Source organism: Homo sapiens, chromosome 4 (genome assembly GCF_000001405.40).
Source record: "Homo sapiens chromosome 4, GRCh38.p14 Primary Assembly".
Classification (NCBI taxonomy): Eukaryota; Metazoa; Chordata; class Mammalia; order Primates; family Hominidae; genus Homo; species Homo sapiens.
The window spans coordinates 13783528-13804654 of record NC_000004.12 but is presented as its reverse complement, the minus strand read 5'-3'; the positions used below and the strand labels follow the sequence as shown (position 1 = coordinate 13804654).

General features: G+C 39.2%; 2 long non-coding RNA genes across 6 annotated transcripts in view; one reads left to right on the top strand and one right to left on the bottom strand.

Annotated features, from left to right (window-relative positions):
- The window catches only part of LINC01182 (long intergenic non-protein coding RNA 1182), a 276050-nt gene that overhangs the window by 126574 nt on the left and 128349 nt on the right, over window positions 1-21127 (bottom strand). The gene's annotated exons all lie outside the window — the stretch shown is intronic.
- Window positions 1-21127, top strand: part of LOC101929048 (uncharacterized) — a 74973-nt gene that overhangs the window by 36251 nt on the left and 17595 nt on the right. For 3 of the 5 annotated variants that reach the window (XR_925415.3, XR_001741387.2, XR_925418.3), the window contains exons 3-4: window positions 17529-17660; window positions 18962-19108. This is a non-coding gene — a long non-coding RNA (uncharacterized LOC101929048). Of the gene's footprint in view, window positions 1-17528; window positions 17661-18961; window positions 19681-21127 lie in introns of those variants that run through there. The other 2 variants (XR_001741385.2, XR_001741386.2) reach the window with 2 other exon arrangements.

Genomic DNA, 21127 nt, shown 5'->3' with positions numbered 1-21127 from the left:
AATTTTGAACTTGAAATACAAGATTTCAAAGGAAGTGTGTGCTACTCCCTCAGATTTACCCATCTCTTCAGCTTCTTTTTTATTTAATTATTTATTTATTTATTATTGTACTTTAAGATTTAGGGTACATGTGCACAATGTGCAGGTTAGTTACATAAGTATACATGTGCCATGCTGGTGCACTGCACCCACTAACTCATCATCTAGCATTAGGTATATCTCCCAATGCTATCCCTCCCCCCTCCCCCCACCCCACAACAGTCCCCAGAGTGTGATGTTCCCCTTCCTGTGTCCATGTGTTCTCATTGTTCAATTCCCACCTATGAGTGAGAATATGCGGTGTTTGGTTTTTTGTTCTTGCGATAGTTTACTGAGAATGATGACTTCCAATTTCATCCATGTCCCTACAAAGGACATGAACTCATCATTTTTTATGGCTGCATAGTATTCCATGGTGTATATGTGCCACATTTTCTTAATCCAGTCTATCATTGTTGGATATTTGGGTTGGTTCCAAGTCTTTGCTATTGTGAATAATGCCACAATAAGCATACGTGTGCATGTGTCTTTATAGCAGCATGATTTATAGTCCTTTGGGTATATACCCAGTAATGGGATGGCTGGGTCAAATGGTTTTTCTAGTTCTATATCCCTGAGGAATCGCCACACTGTCTTCCACAAGGGTTGAACTAGTTTACAGTCCCACCAACAGTGTAAAAGTGTTCCTATTTCTCCACATCCTCTCCAGCACTTGTTGTTTCCTGACTTTTTAATGATTGCCATTCTAACTGGTGTGAGATGGTATCTCATTGTGGTTTTGATTTGCATTTCTCTGATGGCCAGTGATGGTGAGCATTTTTCCATCTGTCTTTTGGCTGCATAAATGTCTTCTTTTAAGAAGTGTCTGTTCATCTCCTTCGCCCACTTTTTGATGGGGTTGTTTGTTTTTTTCTTGTAAATTTGTTTGAGTTCATTGTAGATTCTGGATATTAGCCCTTTGTCAGATGAGTAGGTTGCGAAAATTTTCTCCCATGTTGTAGGTTGCCTGTTCACTCTAATGGTAGTTTCTTTTGCTGTGCAGAAGCTCTTTAGTTTAATTAGATCCCATTTGTCAATTTTGTCTTTTGTTGCCATTGCTTTTGGTGTTTTAGCCATGAAGTCCTTGCCCATGCCTATGTCCTGAATGGTAATGCCTAGGTTTTCTTCTAGGGTTTTTATGGTTTTAGGTCTAACGTTTAAGTCTTTAATCCACCTTGAATTGATTTTTGTTTAAGGTGTAAGGAAGGGATCCAGTTTCAGCTTTCTACATATGGCTAGCCAGTTTTCCCAGCACCATTTATTAAATAGGGAATCCTTTCCCCATTGCTTGTTTTTCTCAGGTTTGTCAAAGATCAGATAGTTATAGATAAGCAGCGTTATTTCTGAGGACTCTGTTCTGTTCCATTGATCTATATCTCTGTTTTGGTATCAGTACCATGCTGTTTTGGTTACTGTAGCCTTGTAGTATAGTTTGAAGTCAGGTAGTGTGATGCCTCCAGCTTTGTTCTTTTGGCTTAGGATTGACTTGGCGATGCGGGCTCCTTTGTGGTTCCATATGAACTTGAAAGTAGTTTTTTCCAATTCTGTGAAGGAAGTCATTGGTAGCTTGATGGGGATGGCATTGAATCTGTAAATTACCTTGGGCAGTATGGCCATTTTCACGATATTGATTCTTCCTACCCATGAGCATGGAATGTTCTTCCATTTGTTTACATCCTCTTTTATTTCCTTGAGCAGTGGTTTGTAGTTCTCCTTGAAGAGGTCCTTCACATCCCTTGTAAGTTGGATTCCTAGGTATTTTATTCTCTTTGAAGCAATTGTGAATGGGAGTTCACTCATGATTTGGCTCTCTGTTTGTCTGTTGTTGGTGTATAAGAATGCTTGTGATTTTTGTACATTGATTTTGTATTCTGAGACTTTGCTGAAGTTGCTTATCAGCTTAAGGAGATTTTGGGCTGAGACAATGGGGTTTTCTAGATATACAATCATGTCGTCTGCAAACAGGGACAATTTGAGTTCCTCTTTTCCTAATTGAATACCCTTTATTTTCTTCTCCTGCCTAACTGCCCTGGCCAGAACTTCCAACACTATGTTGAATAGGAGTGGTGAGAGTGGGCATCCCTGTCTTGTGCCAGTTTTCAAAGGGAATGCTTCCAGTTTTTGCCCATTCAGTATGATATTGGCTGTGGGTTTGTCCTAGATAGCTCTTATTATTGTGAAATATGTCCCATCAATACCTAATTTATTGAGAGTTTTTAGCATGAAGCGTTGTTGAATTTTGTCAAAGACCTTTTCTGCATCTATTGAGATAATCATGTGATTTTTGTCTTTGGTTCTGTTTATATGCTGGATTACATTTATTGATTTGCATATATTGAACCAGCCTTGCATCCCAGGGATGAAGCCCACTTGGTCATGGTGGATAAGCTTTTGGATGTGCTGCTGGATTCGTTTTGCCAGTATTTTATTGAGGATTTTTGCATCAATGTTCATCAAGGATATTGGTCTAAAATTCTCTTTTTTGGTTGTGTCTCTGCCCGGCTTTGGTATCAGAATGATGCTGGCCTCATAAAATGAGTTAGGGAGGATTCCCTCTTTTTCTGTTGATTGGAATAGTTTCAGAAGGAATGGTACCAGTTCCTCCTTGTACCTCTGGTAGAATTCGGCTGTGAATCCTTCTGGTCCTGGACTCTTTTTGGTTGGTAAGCTATTGATTATTGCCACAATTTCAGATCCTGTTATTGGTCTATTCAGAGATTCAACTTCTTCCTGGTTTAGTCTTGGGAGAGTGTATGTGTCGAGGAATTTATCCATTTCTTCTAGATTTTCTAGTTTATTTGCGTAGAGGTGTTTGTAGTATTCTCTGATGGTAGTTTGTATTTCTGTGGGATCGATGGTGATATCCCGTTTGTCATTTTTTATTGCTCTATTTGATTCTTCTCTCTTTTTTTCTTTATTAGTCTTGCTAGCGGTTTATCAATTTTGTTGGTCTTTTCAAAAAACCAGCTCCTGGATTCATTAATTTTTTGAAGGGTTTTTTGTGTCTCTATTTCCTTCAGTTCTGCTCTGACTTTAGTTATTTCTTGCCTTCTGCTAGCTTTTGAATGTGTTTGCTCTTGCTTTTCTAGTTCTTTTAATTGTGATGTTAGGGTGTCAATTTTGGATCCTTCCTGCTTTCTCTTGTGGGCATTTAGTGCTACAAATTTCCCTCTACACACTGCATTGAATGCGTCCCAGAGATTCTGGTATGTTTTGTCTTTGTTCTCATTGGTTTCAAAGAACATCTTTATTTCTGCTTTCATTTCGTTATGTACCCAGTAGTCATTCAGGAGCAGGTTGTTCAGTTTCCATGTAGTTGAGCGGTTTTGAGTGAGATTCTTAATCCTGAGTTCTAGTTTGATTGCACTGTGGTCTGAGAGATAGTTTGTTATAATTTCTGTTCTTTTACATTTGCTGAGGAGAGCTTTACTTCCAACTATGTGGTCTATTTTGGAATAGGTGTGGTGTGGTGCTGAAAAAAATGTATATTCTGTTGATTTGGGGTGGAGAGTTCTGTAGATGTCTATTAGGTCCGCTTGGTGCAGAGCTGAGTTCAATTCCTGGGTATCCTTGTTGACTTTCTGTCTCATTGATCTGTCTAATGTTGACAGTGGGGTGTTAAAGTCTCCCATAATTAATGTGTGGGAGTCTAAGTCTCCTTGTAGGTGACTCAGGATTTGCTTTATGAATCTGGGTGCTCCCGTATTGGGTGCATATATATTTAGGATAGTTAGCTCTTCTTGTTGAATTGATCCCTTTGTCATTATGTAATGGCCTTCTTTGTCTCTTTTGATCTTTGTTGGTTTAAAGTCTGTTTTATCAGAGACTAGGATTGCAACCCCTGCCTTTTTTTTGTTTTCCATTTGCTTGGTAGATCTTCCTCCATCCTTTCATTTTGAGCCTATGTGTGTCTCTGCATGTGAGATGGGTTTCCTGAATACAGCACACTGATGGGTCTTGACTCTTTATCCAATTTGCCAGTCTGTGTCTTTTAATTGGAGCACTTAGTCCATTTACATTTAAAGTTAATATTGTTTTGTGTGAATTTGATCCTGTCATTGTGATGATAGCTGGTTATTTTGCTCGTTAGTTGATGCAGTTTCTTCCTAGTCTTGATGGTCTTTACATTTTGGCATGATTTTGCAGCGGCTAGTACTGGTTGTTCCTTTCCATGTTTAGCGCTTCCTTCAGGAGCTCTTTTAGGGCAAGCCTGGTGGTGACAAAATCTCTCAGCATTTGCTTGTCTGTAAAGTATTTTATTTCTTTTTTATTCTTTTTTCTCTAAACTTTCCTTCTTGCTTCATTTCATTCATTTCATCTTCCATCACTGATACCCTTTCTTCCAGTTGATCGCATCGGCTCCTAAGGCTTCTGCATTCTTCACGTAGTTCTCAAGCCTTGGTTTTCAGCTCCATCAGCTCCTTTAAGCACTTCTCTGTATTGGTTATTCTAGTTATACATTCTTCTAATTTTTTTTCAAAGTTTTCAACTTCTTTGCCTTTGGTTTGAACGTCCTCCCGTAGCTCGGAGTAACTTGATTGTCTGAAGCCTTCTTCTCTCAGCTCGTCAAAGTCATTCTCCGTCCAGCTTTGTTCCGTTGCTGGTGAGGAACTGCATTCCTTTGGAGGAGGAGAGGTGCTCTGCTTTTTAGAGTTTCCTGTTTTTCTGTTCTGTTTTTTCCCCATCTTTGTGGTTTTATCTACTTTTGGTCTTTGATGATGGTGATGTACAGATGGGTTTTTGGTGTGGATGTCCTTTCTGTTTGTTAGTTTTCCTTCTAACAGAAAGGACCCTCAGCTGCAGGTCTGTTGGAGTACCCTGCAGTGTGAGGTGTCAGTGTGCCCCTGCTGGAGGGTGCCTCCCAGTTAGGCTGCTCGGGGGTCAGGGGACAGGGGTCAGGGACCCACTTGAGGAGGCAGTCTGCCCGTTCTCAGATCTCCAGCTGCGTGCTGGGAGAACCACTGCTCTCGCCAAAGCTGTTAGACAGGGACATTTAAGTCTGCAGAGGTTACTGCTGTCTTTTTGTTTGTCTGTGCCCTGCCCCCAGAGGTGGAGCCTACAGAGGCAGGCAGGCCTCCTTGAGCTGTGGTGGGCTCCACAAAGCTCGAGCTTCCCAGCTGCTTTGTTTACCTAAGCAAGCCTGGGCAATGGCGGGTGCCCCTTCCCCAGCCTTGCTGCCACCTTGCAGCTTGATCTCAGACTGCTGTGCTAGCAATCAGCGAGACTCCGTGGGCGTAGGACCCTCTGAGCCAGGTGCGGGATATAATCTCCTGGTGTGCCGTTTTTTAAGCCCGTTGGAAAAGCGCAGTATTCGGGTGGGAGTGACCCGATTTTCCAGGTGCCATCTGTCACCCCTTTCTTTGACTAGGAAAGGGAACTCCCTGACCCCTTGTGCTTCTGGAGTGAGGCAATGCCTCGCCCTGCTTTGGCTCACGCACAGTGCACGCACCCACTGACCTGCGCCCACTGTCTGGCACTCCCTAGTGAGATGAACCCGGTACCTCAGATGGAAATGCAGAAATCACCCGTCTTCTGCGTAGCTCAGGCTGGGAGCTGTAGACCAGAGCTGTTCCTATTTGGCCATCTTGGCTCCTCCCCCTCTTCAGCTTCTTAAAGCCATACCATATATAAATACTGTGTCCTCTATTGTGAGCAGACTTGGACAAAAATGTTTGATCAAAAGCTTACATGGACTTCCAACTTTAACCCTAACCTACCATCCCAATAGGGCTGTGCCTGGGCCTCACCGACTCTGCCCTAGCCAAAATCACCATCTCTAAGCTAGGCTTTCATCTCATATACCAGGAAATTATCAAGAGACAGGACATCAAGCAGTCTAATGAAATATATCACTGCTTTTGCAGAATGTAAGGATCTTATTAGAAATTGTGCTCTGTCATTCAGTGATAAATTTGAATGTATTTTGCATGTAAAACCCCATGAGGGAATTTCCTTTATAATTCAATTATGAGGGGTAACTTGGTCACCCTGAGGGACTGGTATATTCCTTGCTGTACCTAAAAGTACTATGTATATTAACATGTATATCATATTACATGTTACATTAGAAGTAAATACACACACACATGCATAAGAAATGCTCCACTCTCCTTATCTCCACCTCTGCCATCTGCAGACATAGACAACAACCTCCAAGTGTCTCCAGGGACCCTGAGGACCTGGAGAACCCTCAGGCAGCAGAGAATCTTGTTAGACTGTGGCTATCACTGGTGTTGTTTACCCATATCTGCACCCACACAACTCCAGATTAATTAAGGTATCCACTCCAGTACTGTCCTCAGATTATGATTATTTTAAGCCAAATGGCACATGACATTATCCCATCTCTAGAGTGGGCATGTGACCTAAGTAAGCTCTGTCAGTCTGCTTAAGGCAAAGGTTTCTCTATCTCCTGGCTGCCCCTCCTTCCTTTCTCCTCTTTTCTTCTTCTACCTCTCTCCCCCTCCTTCTCTTCCTCCTCCTCCTCCTCCTCATTCTTATTCCTCCTTCTGACACCTGCTCCTCCAGCTCCTCTTACTCCTCTTCCTCCTCTTCCTTCTCCTTCTTTCTCCTCCCCCTCCTCCTCCTTCTTTCTTCTCCTTCTTCCTCTTCTTCTTCCTCTCTTTCTCTCTATCTCCTGCTCTCTCTCTTCTTCCTTCCCTCTCTTCCTCTTCTCTCTCTTCTCTCTGTTTCACTCTCTCTCTCTCAATCCCTCCCTCCATCCCCCATGTCCATAGAAGATTGTATGGACCTTGAAGGGATCAATTAGAGAAAAAAAATTAAAATGCCATAACATACAAGAAGAAAAAAGGTAAGAGAATCACAGAAAACAGCCATATCTCTCAGTTCCATGCTCAAGACCCATCTTAATTCTGGCCTTCCTGTTCAATGGGATATTTTGTTGTTGTTTTAGTCATGTTGAGTTTCTATTACAGCCACCAGCACTCTAATTGGTACACAGACCTCCAGTAAATGTCTCTCATGGAAATTAATGCCATAGAAAGTTACTAAAAAAAGAAAATCCCCCAGCCAAGGATCCTCTGCAGATCTCCTGGGACAGATTATTGCAATCTGTGTTTTTGTCATAACCAACTCCTCATTCCTGTCCAGAGCTCACATGAACCTTCTCCCAAGTCTGCCAGAAGAGCTATACTGATAGATTGCGTGCATATTAGGTATGAGTCCAAGAAACCAAAGTCATCCGTTCTCCCAACTAAAAATATATCCTTTACTGGCCTTGCTTTGGTGGTAAACATTCCCACATAATACATCATTGTAGGAAACTAATGAATGTTTCTGTGAAAAGAGCAATGTAAGAACTCTGTAGTCACGACGAGGCAGCAAGAACTGTGGTATTTCCAACCTCACATGATGATAGGCTGATGAGGTGGAAGCCAGCGTGCCGGGGCGATAGGAAGGGCTTACAGACTGAAAGGAAAGAGGGAAGGGGCTGAAATTGGGATGACCACTGTGTGAAGGAGGACACATGTTCTAGGGTCAGAGTGGCAGCATGGAGAAAGCTGTGCTCACATGACCAGATGCACATCCGTCCAGTCCTGGGCCTGACGCTGCAATAGCAGCATCCTGTCCTCCAGGACCTGTCCTCTCTGGATCTGTGTAAAGAGAGGAGAATATGGGAAAAGGCAAGTCCAGAGGATGCACTTTGACAAGGAGAATTTGGAGCTCCTGGGCATCCCCAATATCAGAGCAGAGGCCTTAGGAAGGACAGAATGCCATGAAACTTGGCCCTGGTGCAAGAGAAAGAGAGCTGGACTTAGATTCAGGAGATCTACATCTAAACTCTGGATCTGCCACTTAGTAGCTACATGATCTTGGACAAGTGTCCTTAACCAAGTCTTTAAAGCTTCAGTTTCCTCATCTATAAAGGCCGTAGAGTTGTTGTGGGGATTTGATGAGCCTCCTTAGTGATTTCAGGCATAATATATAAATATAGCAGACTCAGTGAAAAGTCAGCCAAGACAGTGGGCTGTATTGGATCCATGTGCCAAGGTTGCTGCCCCCTCGTCTAGTCACTCTCCTTCTGACATGCCCTCCAGCTACCCCTCCCAGGCCTTACTAGTTGACCTTCATAGAACATCGTCTCTCCGTGTTTTCTCCTTCTACCTTAACTTTTGAATTTCTATCACACTTAGCTTAGTCCTTTTATTAAAGTTTGCTAAGAAAAAAAAAAAAACTATCCCCCAGCCAGGGATCCTCTGCAGATCTCCTGGGACAGATTCTTGCAATCTGCTTAGAAAGACAGATTCTTGCAAGTGCATAGAAAGCACTCACTGCTTTCTAAGTTATTATTTAAGAAATATAAATATAAATATAAATCCCATGCTAGACGGTGAGCTCCCCAAGGAGGCATGATGCATGATGAGGCACAGGTGGGATTTACCCAGCTTTATCCACATGTTCTGCACATAATAGGTTCTTGTTAATGACCTTGGACAATGGTAGTGCTCCAAAAGCTGTCTCCCTTTTGTTGGCTTCCAGAACCTGCCAGAGAGAATACTGAACTTTAACTTTACTTGAGAGGTTGAATCTTATGCCAGAAGCAATAAGGAGCAATAGCAAGTATCAGAAAAAAATAGGAACTGATCCATGTTTGGAACCCTAAATGAGCAAATATCCAGAAGAGTAAAGCTATTCTTAAAAAGCTCATATTTGCTTTAGTTACCAAATGGTCATCTCTCCAGCAACAAATATCATCCTATAGGTCTGTCTTATCTCCAGTGAGATCAAAACATCTTGGGGATGCAGTAAATCCAGTGATTTGGACACTGACATTGGAGCTGGTTTGACTCTTTCCTCTACTTCTCACTAATTCTCATATGAAAATTATTTGACATCCCTGAGCAAAGGGTTTTTTTTTACCTGTAAAATGGTGATAACAAAAATACCTCCTTCACAAGATTCTTGCAAGGATTAAATAAAACAGAGCATGTAAAGTCCCCAGCACAGAGGCTGACCAAGAGGACATGCTAATCCATGTCAGGTGTCGTGATTAGCATGACTGCTTCCATAATAGAGCCAGGCACCCAGCTTTCTAAGAAGCCTTTAATGTCCACCATTAGCACTTTTACCTTTCTCTCCTGGTTTCCTGCCTGCAAGATTTTCCTAGTAGTCACTGGGGGTTCATCTTCACTTGTCTGCTAATGATATTGAATTTACACATTCTTGCCAGCCTCCCACTACACTCAGGTCAGCTGAGGAATTTGTTAGTATCTCAGGCAGATGTGTTACTTCACCCACAGGAACTTCCTGAGTCAAAATCTGAATAACCCTGAGGTCTTCTGGATCAAAGCTGATAGCCCCTGCCCCCTTTTCAGATCTCATTTTCTTAGGGTCATTTCTGCATAGTTATTTCTTTTTTGATCAAATTACCAGCACATGGATCATAACACTTACCCAGCACTTTTCATCTCCAAAATGATGTAAAGGCCTTCGAGTCCATCTGTCTATTCAGTGAATTTTCCATCCTTAATCAAAACAAGTTTCAGGCACCAACTTCAAAAGCTGATGCAGGCAAACCTGCCTCCCAGGGAGCAGGTGCATTACATGCATATTAATGTGCAAAAATCAGAAGTGGGAGGCAGGGAGGAGACTTCAAAGGCACAGAATGTGGAGTCAGAAGATAAAGATTCCCTGTAGAAATTCTGCCTTTTGGCAAGTTATTTAACCTCTGAGTCTCAGTTGCCTGGTATGCAAAATGGGGATAATAAATATACCTCACCCATATCACAGGCGGTTTCAAGAATTAAGTGAGATAGGGGCTGAAAAGGATGATTTATAATATGATGTGGATGCTATGCATTAATTATTACTGACTAAAGGGATCATTTTATCCAAGTGTTGGGCCCTTATCAATAAATCCAGAGGTCTGCCTCTTCTACTTCTCAAACAAAATGTTCCAAAGATCTCTCTTCTGCTCCAAAGGAAAAGGGGAGAGAAAAATTCTTTTGTGGTGCATTCAGTAAGCAGTAATAGTAATTGATTTTGATCACTTACTGAATTCCACACTATCTTAAGAGAACTGATATAATCCTCAGAGCAGACCTATGAAACAGCTATTATTATTATCTCCATTTTACAGATGAAGGAACTGAGACATTTAATATCTTGCTCACATTTACTCATTTAGAAGGGAAAGAGACTATTTTCTTAACTAACAGTCCTCAATATCTGGTCCAGGAACCCCCAGGGAAGTTTGTGAAATCACAAACTATTTTCATCATAATACTAAAGCATTATTTGCCTTTTTCCTCTCTCATTTTCTCACAAGTACACAGTAGGGTTATTCAGAGCCTAAATGACATGTGATATTACAACAGATTGAATGCAGAAATGCACAGGAAAATCCCGCTCCCTTCTATTAAACTGTAAGAAATCTGCAAAAATGTACAACAATGCCACATTTTCACCATATTTTTTGTTTTAGAAAATATATTTTTATTTAAAATGTTACTAATTTAACATGCAATGCATTCTTACTGTTATTTTAATGAATTAATAAATACCTTTTGAATTCTCAGTTTTAATTTTTAATATGGTAAATATCAATAGTTACAACAAATGTAAACAAAAGTGCTTAGGGATCCTCAATCATTCTTAAGGATTTAAAGTGGCCCTAACACCTAAATCTTTGAGAATTGCTGCTCTTAACTAACTACAATGGCCATCTTATTATTCCTGGTTTTTGACGAATAAACTAAAAATAATAATAAACAAGAAGTTATAACACAATAATAAACTAGAACTAATAATACAGATGGTTAATTGCTAATCACCCACAACAGTTATATTATTATTTCTAGTTTCTAATGAAGAAATTGAGGCTTAGAGAAGTTAAGTGGATTGTTCGAGATCACACAGCTCACAATAAAAGTTTTCAAGAATTAAGAGTCCACCAACTCTATCATTGACTCACATTCTCATTTGTTTTAATTTATTGTGACATTTCCTTCCTTTTGTGCCCCAGACGCTTCTGCTGATATAAAACTCAGCAACTAAATTGTCTCTGTGTTTAAAAAACCACAGAAACTAGACTTCACAGAGGTCTTATGATTTGCTTCTAAACCTCGCTTTATGATTTGCTTCTAAACCTCTCCTTGTTTGAGATCTAGATAATATTAGAAGTTGCCCATGTTGCTCTTGGCTCTCCTCTCTCCCACCAAGTTTCCTACAAGATGAAGATCAAATGCCATTCTGAGAGTGAACCTTACTTTTTGGCACTGCAGCATATGAGCAACACTGTCTAGCCTAGCCTTTCCTCAACATCCATTTCCCTGTTATTCGAGCTCCAATTTGTTCATGAGTCCAAGGAAATTTATCACTGGTCTAAATCAGTCGTGACAATCTTGTTTAACTTGATGAGTGGTTAGTCCATAGGAAGTCATGTGACCCAGTCTTGGCCAATTACATGGAAAGCCACTAGGTTGAACTTCCAATAAACCACTGCTTTCAGGGGAAAAAAATAGATTTAAGGCATAACGTTTTTCCTACTTAGAATACAAGTGTGATGTCTAGTATCTGGAGGTTTGCAGTTTTCTGGAAACAATGAGGTTACCAAGATGAGAAAAGCAACAAAAAGAATTATACTAATCTCTGCATTACTGAGCTATTGAATCAGAGCCAGCAATTGCTTACCTCCAGACACTTTTATGAGACAAATAAACCTCCTATTTCTTTAAGTTACTGTCATTCTTTTACTTGAAGCCAAATGTGCTACCAACTGATACAGAGAAGTTTTCTACATTGTACCTTGTGGGTACAACATTTCCATGAACAGGCAGGACTGTCATTGCCAATAAAAATAGATCCAGAAATGACAGAGTGAATAGCAGACAGGGACGTTAAAGTAGCTAATATAAATATGTTCTAGAATGTACAAGAAAACAAAAATGATAAAGAGAGAAATTAAAGAAATAAAAACAAAATTAAGAGGTCTTCTAGAGCTGAAAAATTCAATATTTGAAATAAAATTTTTACTGCATAGGACCAATAACAGATTAGACATTATAGAAAAAGGAAAAAAAAAATCAGTGTAATCTGAGAATGTAGAAATAGGAACTATCCAAACTTAAGCATAAAAAGAAAAGAGAAAGAAAATAATTAACAGAACCCTCATAACATGTAGAACAGTTTTAAGTAGTTTAGTGTAAATATAACTGGAGTCAGAAAAAAGGAAGGGGCAGAAATATGTATTCAAAGAAATAATGCCTGAAATTTTATTCAAATTTGATAAAAACCATAAACACAGTCAAAAAATTCAATAAGCACAAAACAAAATTTTAAAAAAATAAAAATGAAAATTATACGAAAGCACATCATAATCAAATTGCTACAAACCAGTGATAAAGAGAAAAATCTTAAAAGAAGCCATATAAAATTGGTCATATAAAATTGGCAGATTATATTCAGAAAACCAAAGATAAGAATTACTATCAATTTTAGATCACAAACAATGCAAGACAAGAAACAATAAAGCATCTTCAAAGTGCTGGGGAAAAAATGTCATTCTATCTCCAGTGAAAACATCTTTCAAAAGCTAAGAGTAATTTAAAATGTTTTTAGATAAGCAAAAACTAAAAGAATTTACTTGTAAAGAGATCTCAACTACAAGAAATGTTAAAGGAAGTTTTTTGCAGAGAAGAAAATGATACCATATGGAAACATGGATCTGCTCAAAAGAATTTAGAATCATTTAAATGATAACTATTTATATAAAGGGAAAAAGTTTTTCCTTGTGTTTCAATTCTTTAAGAGAAAATTGCTTTCTTAAAAAAAAGTAAAGAATGTATCATAGAGTTTATAACATGTAGAAGTAAATTGCATTACAACAATAATAGAAAACCTTGGGGTGAACAGAAGAGTCTCACATTATAAAAGTAAGAGGATAGAAAATTATAAACAATGCATACACTAATAATAAGAAAACTGGAGTGGCTACATTAATATCAGATAAAGTAGACTTCAGGACAAGAAATATTACCAATTTTTGTGATAAAGCAGAACATTTTATAAAAACAAAAGAGTCAATGTATTAAGAAGACCAACAATGCTAACTGAATAGGCATGTAGTAATAGGCATCAAAATACGTGAAGTGAAAACTGATAAGACTGAAAAGAGAAATGGACAAATTCCCAATTATAGTTGGAGACTTCAACACTCCTCTTCTAGTAGTTGATAAATTAGACAGAATAGGATCATAGAAGACTTAAACAACACTTACCTTCAACCTGATCAAATTGATATCTATAGTACAAGTAACTAAACAACAGAATGTAGATACTTTTCAAGAGCACATGGAAAATTCACTAAGATATGCCATACACTAACCCAAAACTGGGTCATAAAACCAGTCTTAATACATATCAAAGGACGGAAATTTTACAATCCATTTTCTTTGACTACAGTAGAATGACAACACATTTCAAAAACAGAAAGATATCAAAAAAATTAAAATACCTGGGAAATACTCATTTCAAATAGCCCATTTTTCAAAGTGAAATTGACAAAAGAAATTAGAAAATATTTTGAAATGAATGAAACACATATCAAAATTTATTAGATGAAAATAAAGTAGCAATTAGAAGAAATTTCATAACATTAAATGCTTCTGTTGCCAATTTTTTAATGTCCAAAATTAGTTAGTTATCAGAGCTTCCACTGTAAGAAGCTAAAAGAAAAAAAAAAAAAGAACTGAAACCCAAAGTACAATGAAAGGAAGAAAAACAAAAGTGTAAAACAATGAAATGAAAAGCAAGCTAACAATGGAGAAAAATCAATGAAACCATAAGTTGCTTGTTTAAAAAGATCAATACAAATGATAGATCTCTGGCTAGACTGATCAAAAACAAAGAGACAAACATTTCTAATATCAAAAGCAAAATAGGATGTCACTGAACGTTCTCTGTACGTTAAGTAGACAATAATGAAATGTTATGAGCAGCATATGACAAATGTGAGAACGTGGGTGAAATGGACAAACGTATCAAAAGACCAAACTTGACACAAAAAATTTGCCAAACCTGAAACAAGAGAAAAGAGAAAATCAAAATAGCTGTATATCTCTTCAAGGCATTGAGTTTTCAGTTAAAAACATTCCCAGGGAAGAGGAGAACCCTCCAGACTGAGATGACTTGACTGGTGAATTCTGTGAAATTTCTAGAAAAGAAATACCAATCTTGTGCAGATACTTTTCAAAAATAAAGGAGTGCAGGGCACGTCTCAGTTCATTTTACAAGGCTAATGTTACTGTGACACTATGAAACTACCATTTCATGAACAGAGATGGGGCAATCCTTTATGAATATGGGCATTTGGAATCTAACAATAATCAGAAAAGATAACTCAATATGAACAAGTGAGATTTATATTTTGAATGAAAGGTAGGTATAGCACTCAAAGATCAATAAATGTAATTTATCATATAAATAGAATAAAGGAGAAAACCACAACACAGAAGAAACTCAATAGATGTAGAAAAGACACAAATAGGTTGAATGTTAAAAATGGGGAAAAAAAAAGATATTCCATGCAAGCTGTAACCAAAAGACAATTAGAGTCACTATATTAAGATCAGACAAAATAGATGTTCAAACAAAAATTGTTGTTAGAAACAAAAAAGGACATTTTATAATTTAAAAAGTTGAGGTCATCAGGAAGACATAACAATTGTGTATGAACCTATCTAGAGAGCTCCAAAATATATGAAGATACAAAAATGACAGAATTAAAGAGAGAAATAGACAATTCAACAGTAACAGGTAACAACTTTAATACCTCACTTTCAATAATGGACAGAACAGGACAGGCAGAAGATCAACAATGAAATAGGAGACTTGAATAACTCCAACTGCATTTATTAAACTAAATAAGCAGGAAGCCATTGACTCGAGGCTATCTCCCTACTTTGAGTTGTAATGTAGCACAACCTAACATATTTTATAAACAAACTGAAACCAGACTTGATAACTGAGTTTCAGCCATCACAAGCAGCCAAGCTTCAGCAAATCAGTTAACTGATCACACCGTGCCCAAATAAGGCGTATGTCTACATGTAACCAATTAAGTGATCTTTCTACTTTGGTTCCACATTTAGCCTATAAAATCTCACTGCTCAGGCTGTTAGGTAGAGCTTTCTGAACCTCTTCTTGTTGTGAGTGCTGCCTAATTCATGAATTGTTCTTTGCTCAAAAAACTCTGCTAAATTTAATTTATCTAAAGTTTTTGTTTTAACAGACCTCTATAGAATGATCCACCCAACAACAGCAGAATACATATTCTTCTCAAGTGCACAATGAAACCTCTCCAGGGTAGACCATATGTCTGCCTATAAAAACAATAAATTTTAAAAGATTGAAGTTATACAAAACATGTGCCCTGACCACAATAAAATAAAATTAGAAATAAAACACAGAATAAAACCTGGGAAATTCACAAATATATGGAAATTAATTAATACATTCCTAAATAACCAATTGATCAAAGAAGAAATTACAAGACATATTCTCTAAGTGAATATTTAGAGATGAATGTAAACAAAAATGCAACATACCAAAACTCATGATACGCAGCTAATGCAGTGCTTAGAGAGAAGTGTATAGCTGTAATCATCTATATTTTAAAAAGAAGAATAAGAAATATTTCAAATGAGTAAGTAACCTAACTTTTCATCTTAAGAAATAAAAAAGAAGAGCAAACTGAAACCTAAGCAAGTAGGGGAAAGGAATAATAAAGACTGGAAAATATATAAATAAAATAAAAAATAGGAAAACAATAGAGAAAAATCAAAAGCTCTTTCTTTAAAGAGACCAACAAATGACAAATCTTTAATTAGACTGACAGAAAGTGAGAGAGATAACTCAAATTTCTCATAACAGCAATGAAAGACGAGCCATCACTACTTATAGGAATTTAAAAAATTATAAAAGGATACTATAAACAGCTATGCCAACAAATTTGATAACCAAGATGAAATGGACAAAATCGTAGCAAGATAAAAATTACTGGAACTGACTCAAGAAATAGAAAATCTTAATTGAACTATAATAAATGATGACATTAGTTATTTTAAAACTTTCTACAAAAAGAAAAATTTCAGACCCAGATATCTTCACTGATGAATTTTACAAATGTTTAAAGATGAATTAATACCAATCTTCAATATTTGACAAATTCTTCAAAAAAAAGAAATAAAAAAACACATTTTCTCACTTATTTCATGAGACCATTCTTACCCTAATACCATACCTAAAGATATTTCAAGAATATAGAACTTTGACCTCATATCCCTTATAAATATAGATGAAAAATTCTCAAAAAATAAGCTAGCAAACTGACTTCAGCAACATAGAATTATACACCCTTTCATGATTAAAAAAAACTAGTTCGTTAAACTAGAAATAGAGGAAAATGTCCTCAACCTCATACAGAAGTTGAGGACATACAGGGCATCTACAACCAACCCACAGCTAACATCACACTCAAAGGTAAAAAACTGAAAGCTTTTACTCATGGGATCAGGAAAAATACAAGGATATCCATTCTTGCCACTGTTATGTCAGCATTGTACTGGAGCAATTAGGCAAGAGGAATTAGGCAAGACACAGAAATAAAAGGCAACCAGATTGAAAGAAAAAAAAAAGAAGAAGTAAAACTATCTCTATTCACAGGTAATATATTTACAAGTATAGAAAATTGTGGCCAGGCGCAGTGGCTCATGTCTGTAATCCCAGAACTTTGAGAGGCTGAGGCAGGAAGATCACTTGAGTCTAGAAGTTCAAGACTAGCCTGGGAAACATAGTAAGACCTTATCTCTACAAAAAAAATAAAATTAGCTGGGTGTGGTGGTGCACACTTGTAGTTCCAGCTACTCAGGAAACAGAGGTGAGAGGATTGCTTGAGTCCAGGAGTTTGAAGTTGCAGTGAGCCACTCCAGCCTGGGCAACAGAGCGAGATCATGTCTCATAAATAAATAAATAATAAAAATTTAAAAAGAGAAAATTGTGAGGAATTCACTAAAAAAAAAAAAAAAAATTTAATAAATGAGTTCAGCTAGCTTGTGTGACATAAACCATTTATTGACCAGGCCTGTGGTGCCTAGAAATATTCTGTAACCTGGCTGGGCGCAGTGGCTCATGCCTGTAATCCCAGCAATTTGGGAGGCCGAGGCAGGCGGATCACGAGGTCAGGAGATTGAGACCATTCTGGTTAACACAGTGAAACCCCATCTCTACTAAACAATACAAAAAATTAGCTGGGCGTGGTCGTGGGCGCCTGTAGTCCCAGCTACTTGGGAGGCTTAAGCAGGAGAATGGTGTGAACCCGGGAGGCGGAGTTTGCAGTGAGCTGAGATCGCGCCACTGCACTCCAACCTGGGCAACAGAGCAAGACTCCATCTCAAAAAAAAAAAGAAAAAAGAAATATTCTGTAACCCTAGGCAATGCCTCTGCATCCTCATCAGCGAAACCGGATTGATCTTGCCTGCTTCCCTGGCTTTGATGGATGCAACAGAAGAATATATGCAGAAGTCCCTAATGCAGTGCCTGATGCATGATAAATGCTCAAATATGTTAGTTTCTTCCTTCCTTCATTATTTAGCTCACTATTTTGCTAATTACAGATGGTGGTTAATAACAACATGTTTGTGATATGCAAAAATCCTAGCACAGTTGGATTATCTGACATTTATACATCAAGACAAAATAAGCTAATCTAAATGAGTTTGTCTCATCACATCTAGCTGAACTGGATAGGAACATATATTGCATTGTCAGGCCTGTTTTTTCTTCCCTCCTACCACCTCTGTGTAGTCCTCACCACATTCCGTTTCTGCACTCAGTTCTACCTGAGAATTACACACTTTCATTCCCTTCAGTTGAGAAGAATGGGGTAAAGGGAGACGAAAAAAATTAAACTAAGAAGGAAAGTTTAGACTTCCCACCTGCTCCCTATTAAGTTATACTCACTACACTCTATTCCCTAGGAAGAGAATAAGGCTTCTTCCTTTCACTGTACCTCCTCTTCCTTAACAAAAAGGAAAAAAAATGAAGAAGGAAAAAAGGGAGGGAAACAAGGAGGGAGGGAAGGAGAGAAACCCTGTTTTAAAGAGAAATCTCCATGACATAGTCGAAAAAGAAAATGGAGTTTCAAGTTCACACACAGGGGTCAGAAGGCAAGAGGATGGCATTGTCAGGAGAAGGGAGAAGAACTATAGGTATAACTATCATTGATCTCTTCCCTCTGTTTTCTCCAAGTGCTGCCAGTCCCTAGGTGTTCTTAAGTTTCCTTTACTAACTAGTGTGCAAAGGCTGGTGCAGGATGAGAGGGTGGCAGGGACAGGAGAAGACATAGGATACTGTTGGAGCTGACATCTCCTGAAGTCTTACCTTCAAGGGGCACAGCTGCCTCATCAATCTCAAACGGCCCAACTCATCTCACAAAAATGTTTTGGGACCAAAGGCCAAACTAGTAACGATTGTGTGTTTTACTGGGATGTTCCCTGTGTGGATTCAATTATGTCCCCCTCAAAAATATTGATGCCCTAACCCCCAGTGCCTGTGAATGTGACCTGATTTGGAAATAGGGTTTTACCGATGATGAAGCTACAATGAGATCATTAGGGTGTACCCAAATCCAACATGATTGGTGTCCTTATAAAAAGTGAAAAGTTAGACAGTGACGGAGGTGCACACAGGGAGAATGCATGTGAGGATGAAGGCGGAGATAAGGATGATGCATCTATAAGCCAAGAAATGCCAAAGATTGCCAGAAAACTACCAGTAGCTAAGAGAGGAATCTGGAACAGATTCTCACAGCCCTCAAAAGGAACTAACGCTGCTGACACCTTGATTCTCGACTTCCAATCTCCAGAACAGACAGAAAATCTGTGTATGTTGTATAAGCCCTGCAGTGTGTGGTACTTTGCTTCAACAGCCAAAGCAAATGAATACAGCCTCCATGGTAGGCAATGGGACAAGGATTCAGCATTCAGGATCCTACCTGTGTCTTCTTCAGGAGGTATGTAAACCAATATCCCTCTCTCAGCTCCAGTAGTTGTACACAGGGACCTCTTTTCCTTCTCCCCTGCCTCTGCCCCTGGGAGGATGGTTGAAATAATATTATGTTCCTCCTTGTTCCTTATCCCTTAAATTGGGTCAGATCTCCCAGACTCCACCCCGAGGTGTGCCCTGTTCAGAGTGGTACATACCTCAGTGGTTCAAATCCTGAGTTCTGGGGTCAGACAGGCCTGAATCCTTACCTTGGCCCATCTACATTCCAGCCAAATGACTTTGAACAGGTAACTCAACCGCTCTCTACCTCCATTTCCAGAATGGTAGAAACTGTTGCATGGATTTGTTCTGAGGCTGCACAGCCCCGTGTCTGGCTCATAGCTAGTGCTCATTAAATGTTTGTCTAACAAATGTCTCTACAGGCAGTGACTCTTCTGCTCAACCACCTCTGATTCCTTCCCCATGCTCTCATTTCCCCTATCCAAGAGTGTGGCTCAGTCTCTGGTTTTAGGATCTGCTTTTGGAACTTTTTTTTTCTTTGAGACAGAGTCTTGCTCTGTCACCCAGGCTAGAGTGCAGTGACGTGTTCTTGGCTCACTGCAACCTCCACCTCCTGGGTTCAAATGATTCTCCTGCCTCAGCCTCCTGAGTAGCTGGGACTACAAGCATATGCCACCATGCCCAGCTTATTTTTGTATTTTTAGTAGAGGCGGGGTTTCACCATGTGGACCAGGATGGTCTCCATCTCCTGACCTCATGATCTACCCGCCTCAGCCTCCCAAAGTGCTGGGACTACAGGCATGAGCCACCGCGCCCGGCCTGCTTTTGGTACTTTTACGGAGAAAAATCTTTACCCTGTTCCTCTGAGTTTCAGTTTTTTCCTTCCACACTGTTCCTCCCTGCTTTCTCCTTCTCCTGTAGTCCAGCCCCAACCCCAAAAACTCCACCTGCTGGGCCTACCCAGGGTGTCTCTTCCAAAGTCCCAAGAAAGAGATACTGGTAATGCAGATAAACCACTCAAACCTACTCTGCAAAGCTTAATCACCATGGAAAACGCCTTTCAGAATGTTACATAAGTGTTGTCTGTAGAGGTGGACTCTGAAAATGAAAGGGTGAATCGATGCACTAGCTGGTAGGCTTGTAGCAAATAGAATATATAATCAATTTTGCTACTCAAGCTAACGTTCTGAACTTCTGATGCTGGTCAGAACAAAACAAGCCTTGGATCACAGTGTTCCAATTGTCATGCCCTGGCAAGCACAATGCGGAGATGTAATTGTGCACCCGGCATGCTTTGATGGTTTGGAGGCCACACCTCCTTCAAACACACAAGGGGCCTTGTCAGAACAGATAACCGACTGACTCCCACAGACTGTATCTGTATGAGTCACCTTGGGAAAATCAAGACCCCAGCTGCTGAAATGAACAACTTTAAAGCCGAAAGTTTGCTGGAGACAATTTTGTGCACAGCAGAGAGAATTTCTCCTGGCTTCAGCTCTGCTCATGCAGAGCAACAAGCCAGTGCCTAGCATAAGCCTGCCTGCAATGGTGGTTCCCAGCTGGGGTCACTCTGCCCCCAACCCCAGGGACATTAAGAAATGTCTGGAAACGTGTTTGTTTGTCACAAACAGGGAAGGAAGTGTTACTGGCGTCTCGTGGGTAGAGGCCAGTGATGCTGCTAACAGTCCCATAATGCACAGAATAGCCCTGCAGAACAAAGAATTATCCAGCCTAAAATGTTGATACTTCTGCAGTCAAGTAACTCTAACCTATTAGGAAGAACCAGCATTCTTTCCCTGACTGGTGGGAGGCATAGTGCTCCTCTCTATCCATAAACTGGCCCCAGTTCGGTTTTGGGCAAGATACTTCATTCTCTGTGCTTCCTTTTCCTCATCTGTAGAATGGGGATAATATAATAATAAAATTTATCTTGCAGAGTTGGTTAAGGACTACATGAACTACAAGTAATAATGCGTATAAAGTGTTTTATAAGTACCTAGCAGTTAAGAAGCAATGTTAACTATGA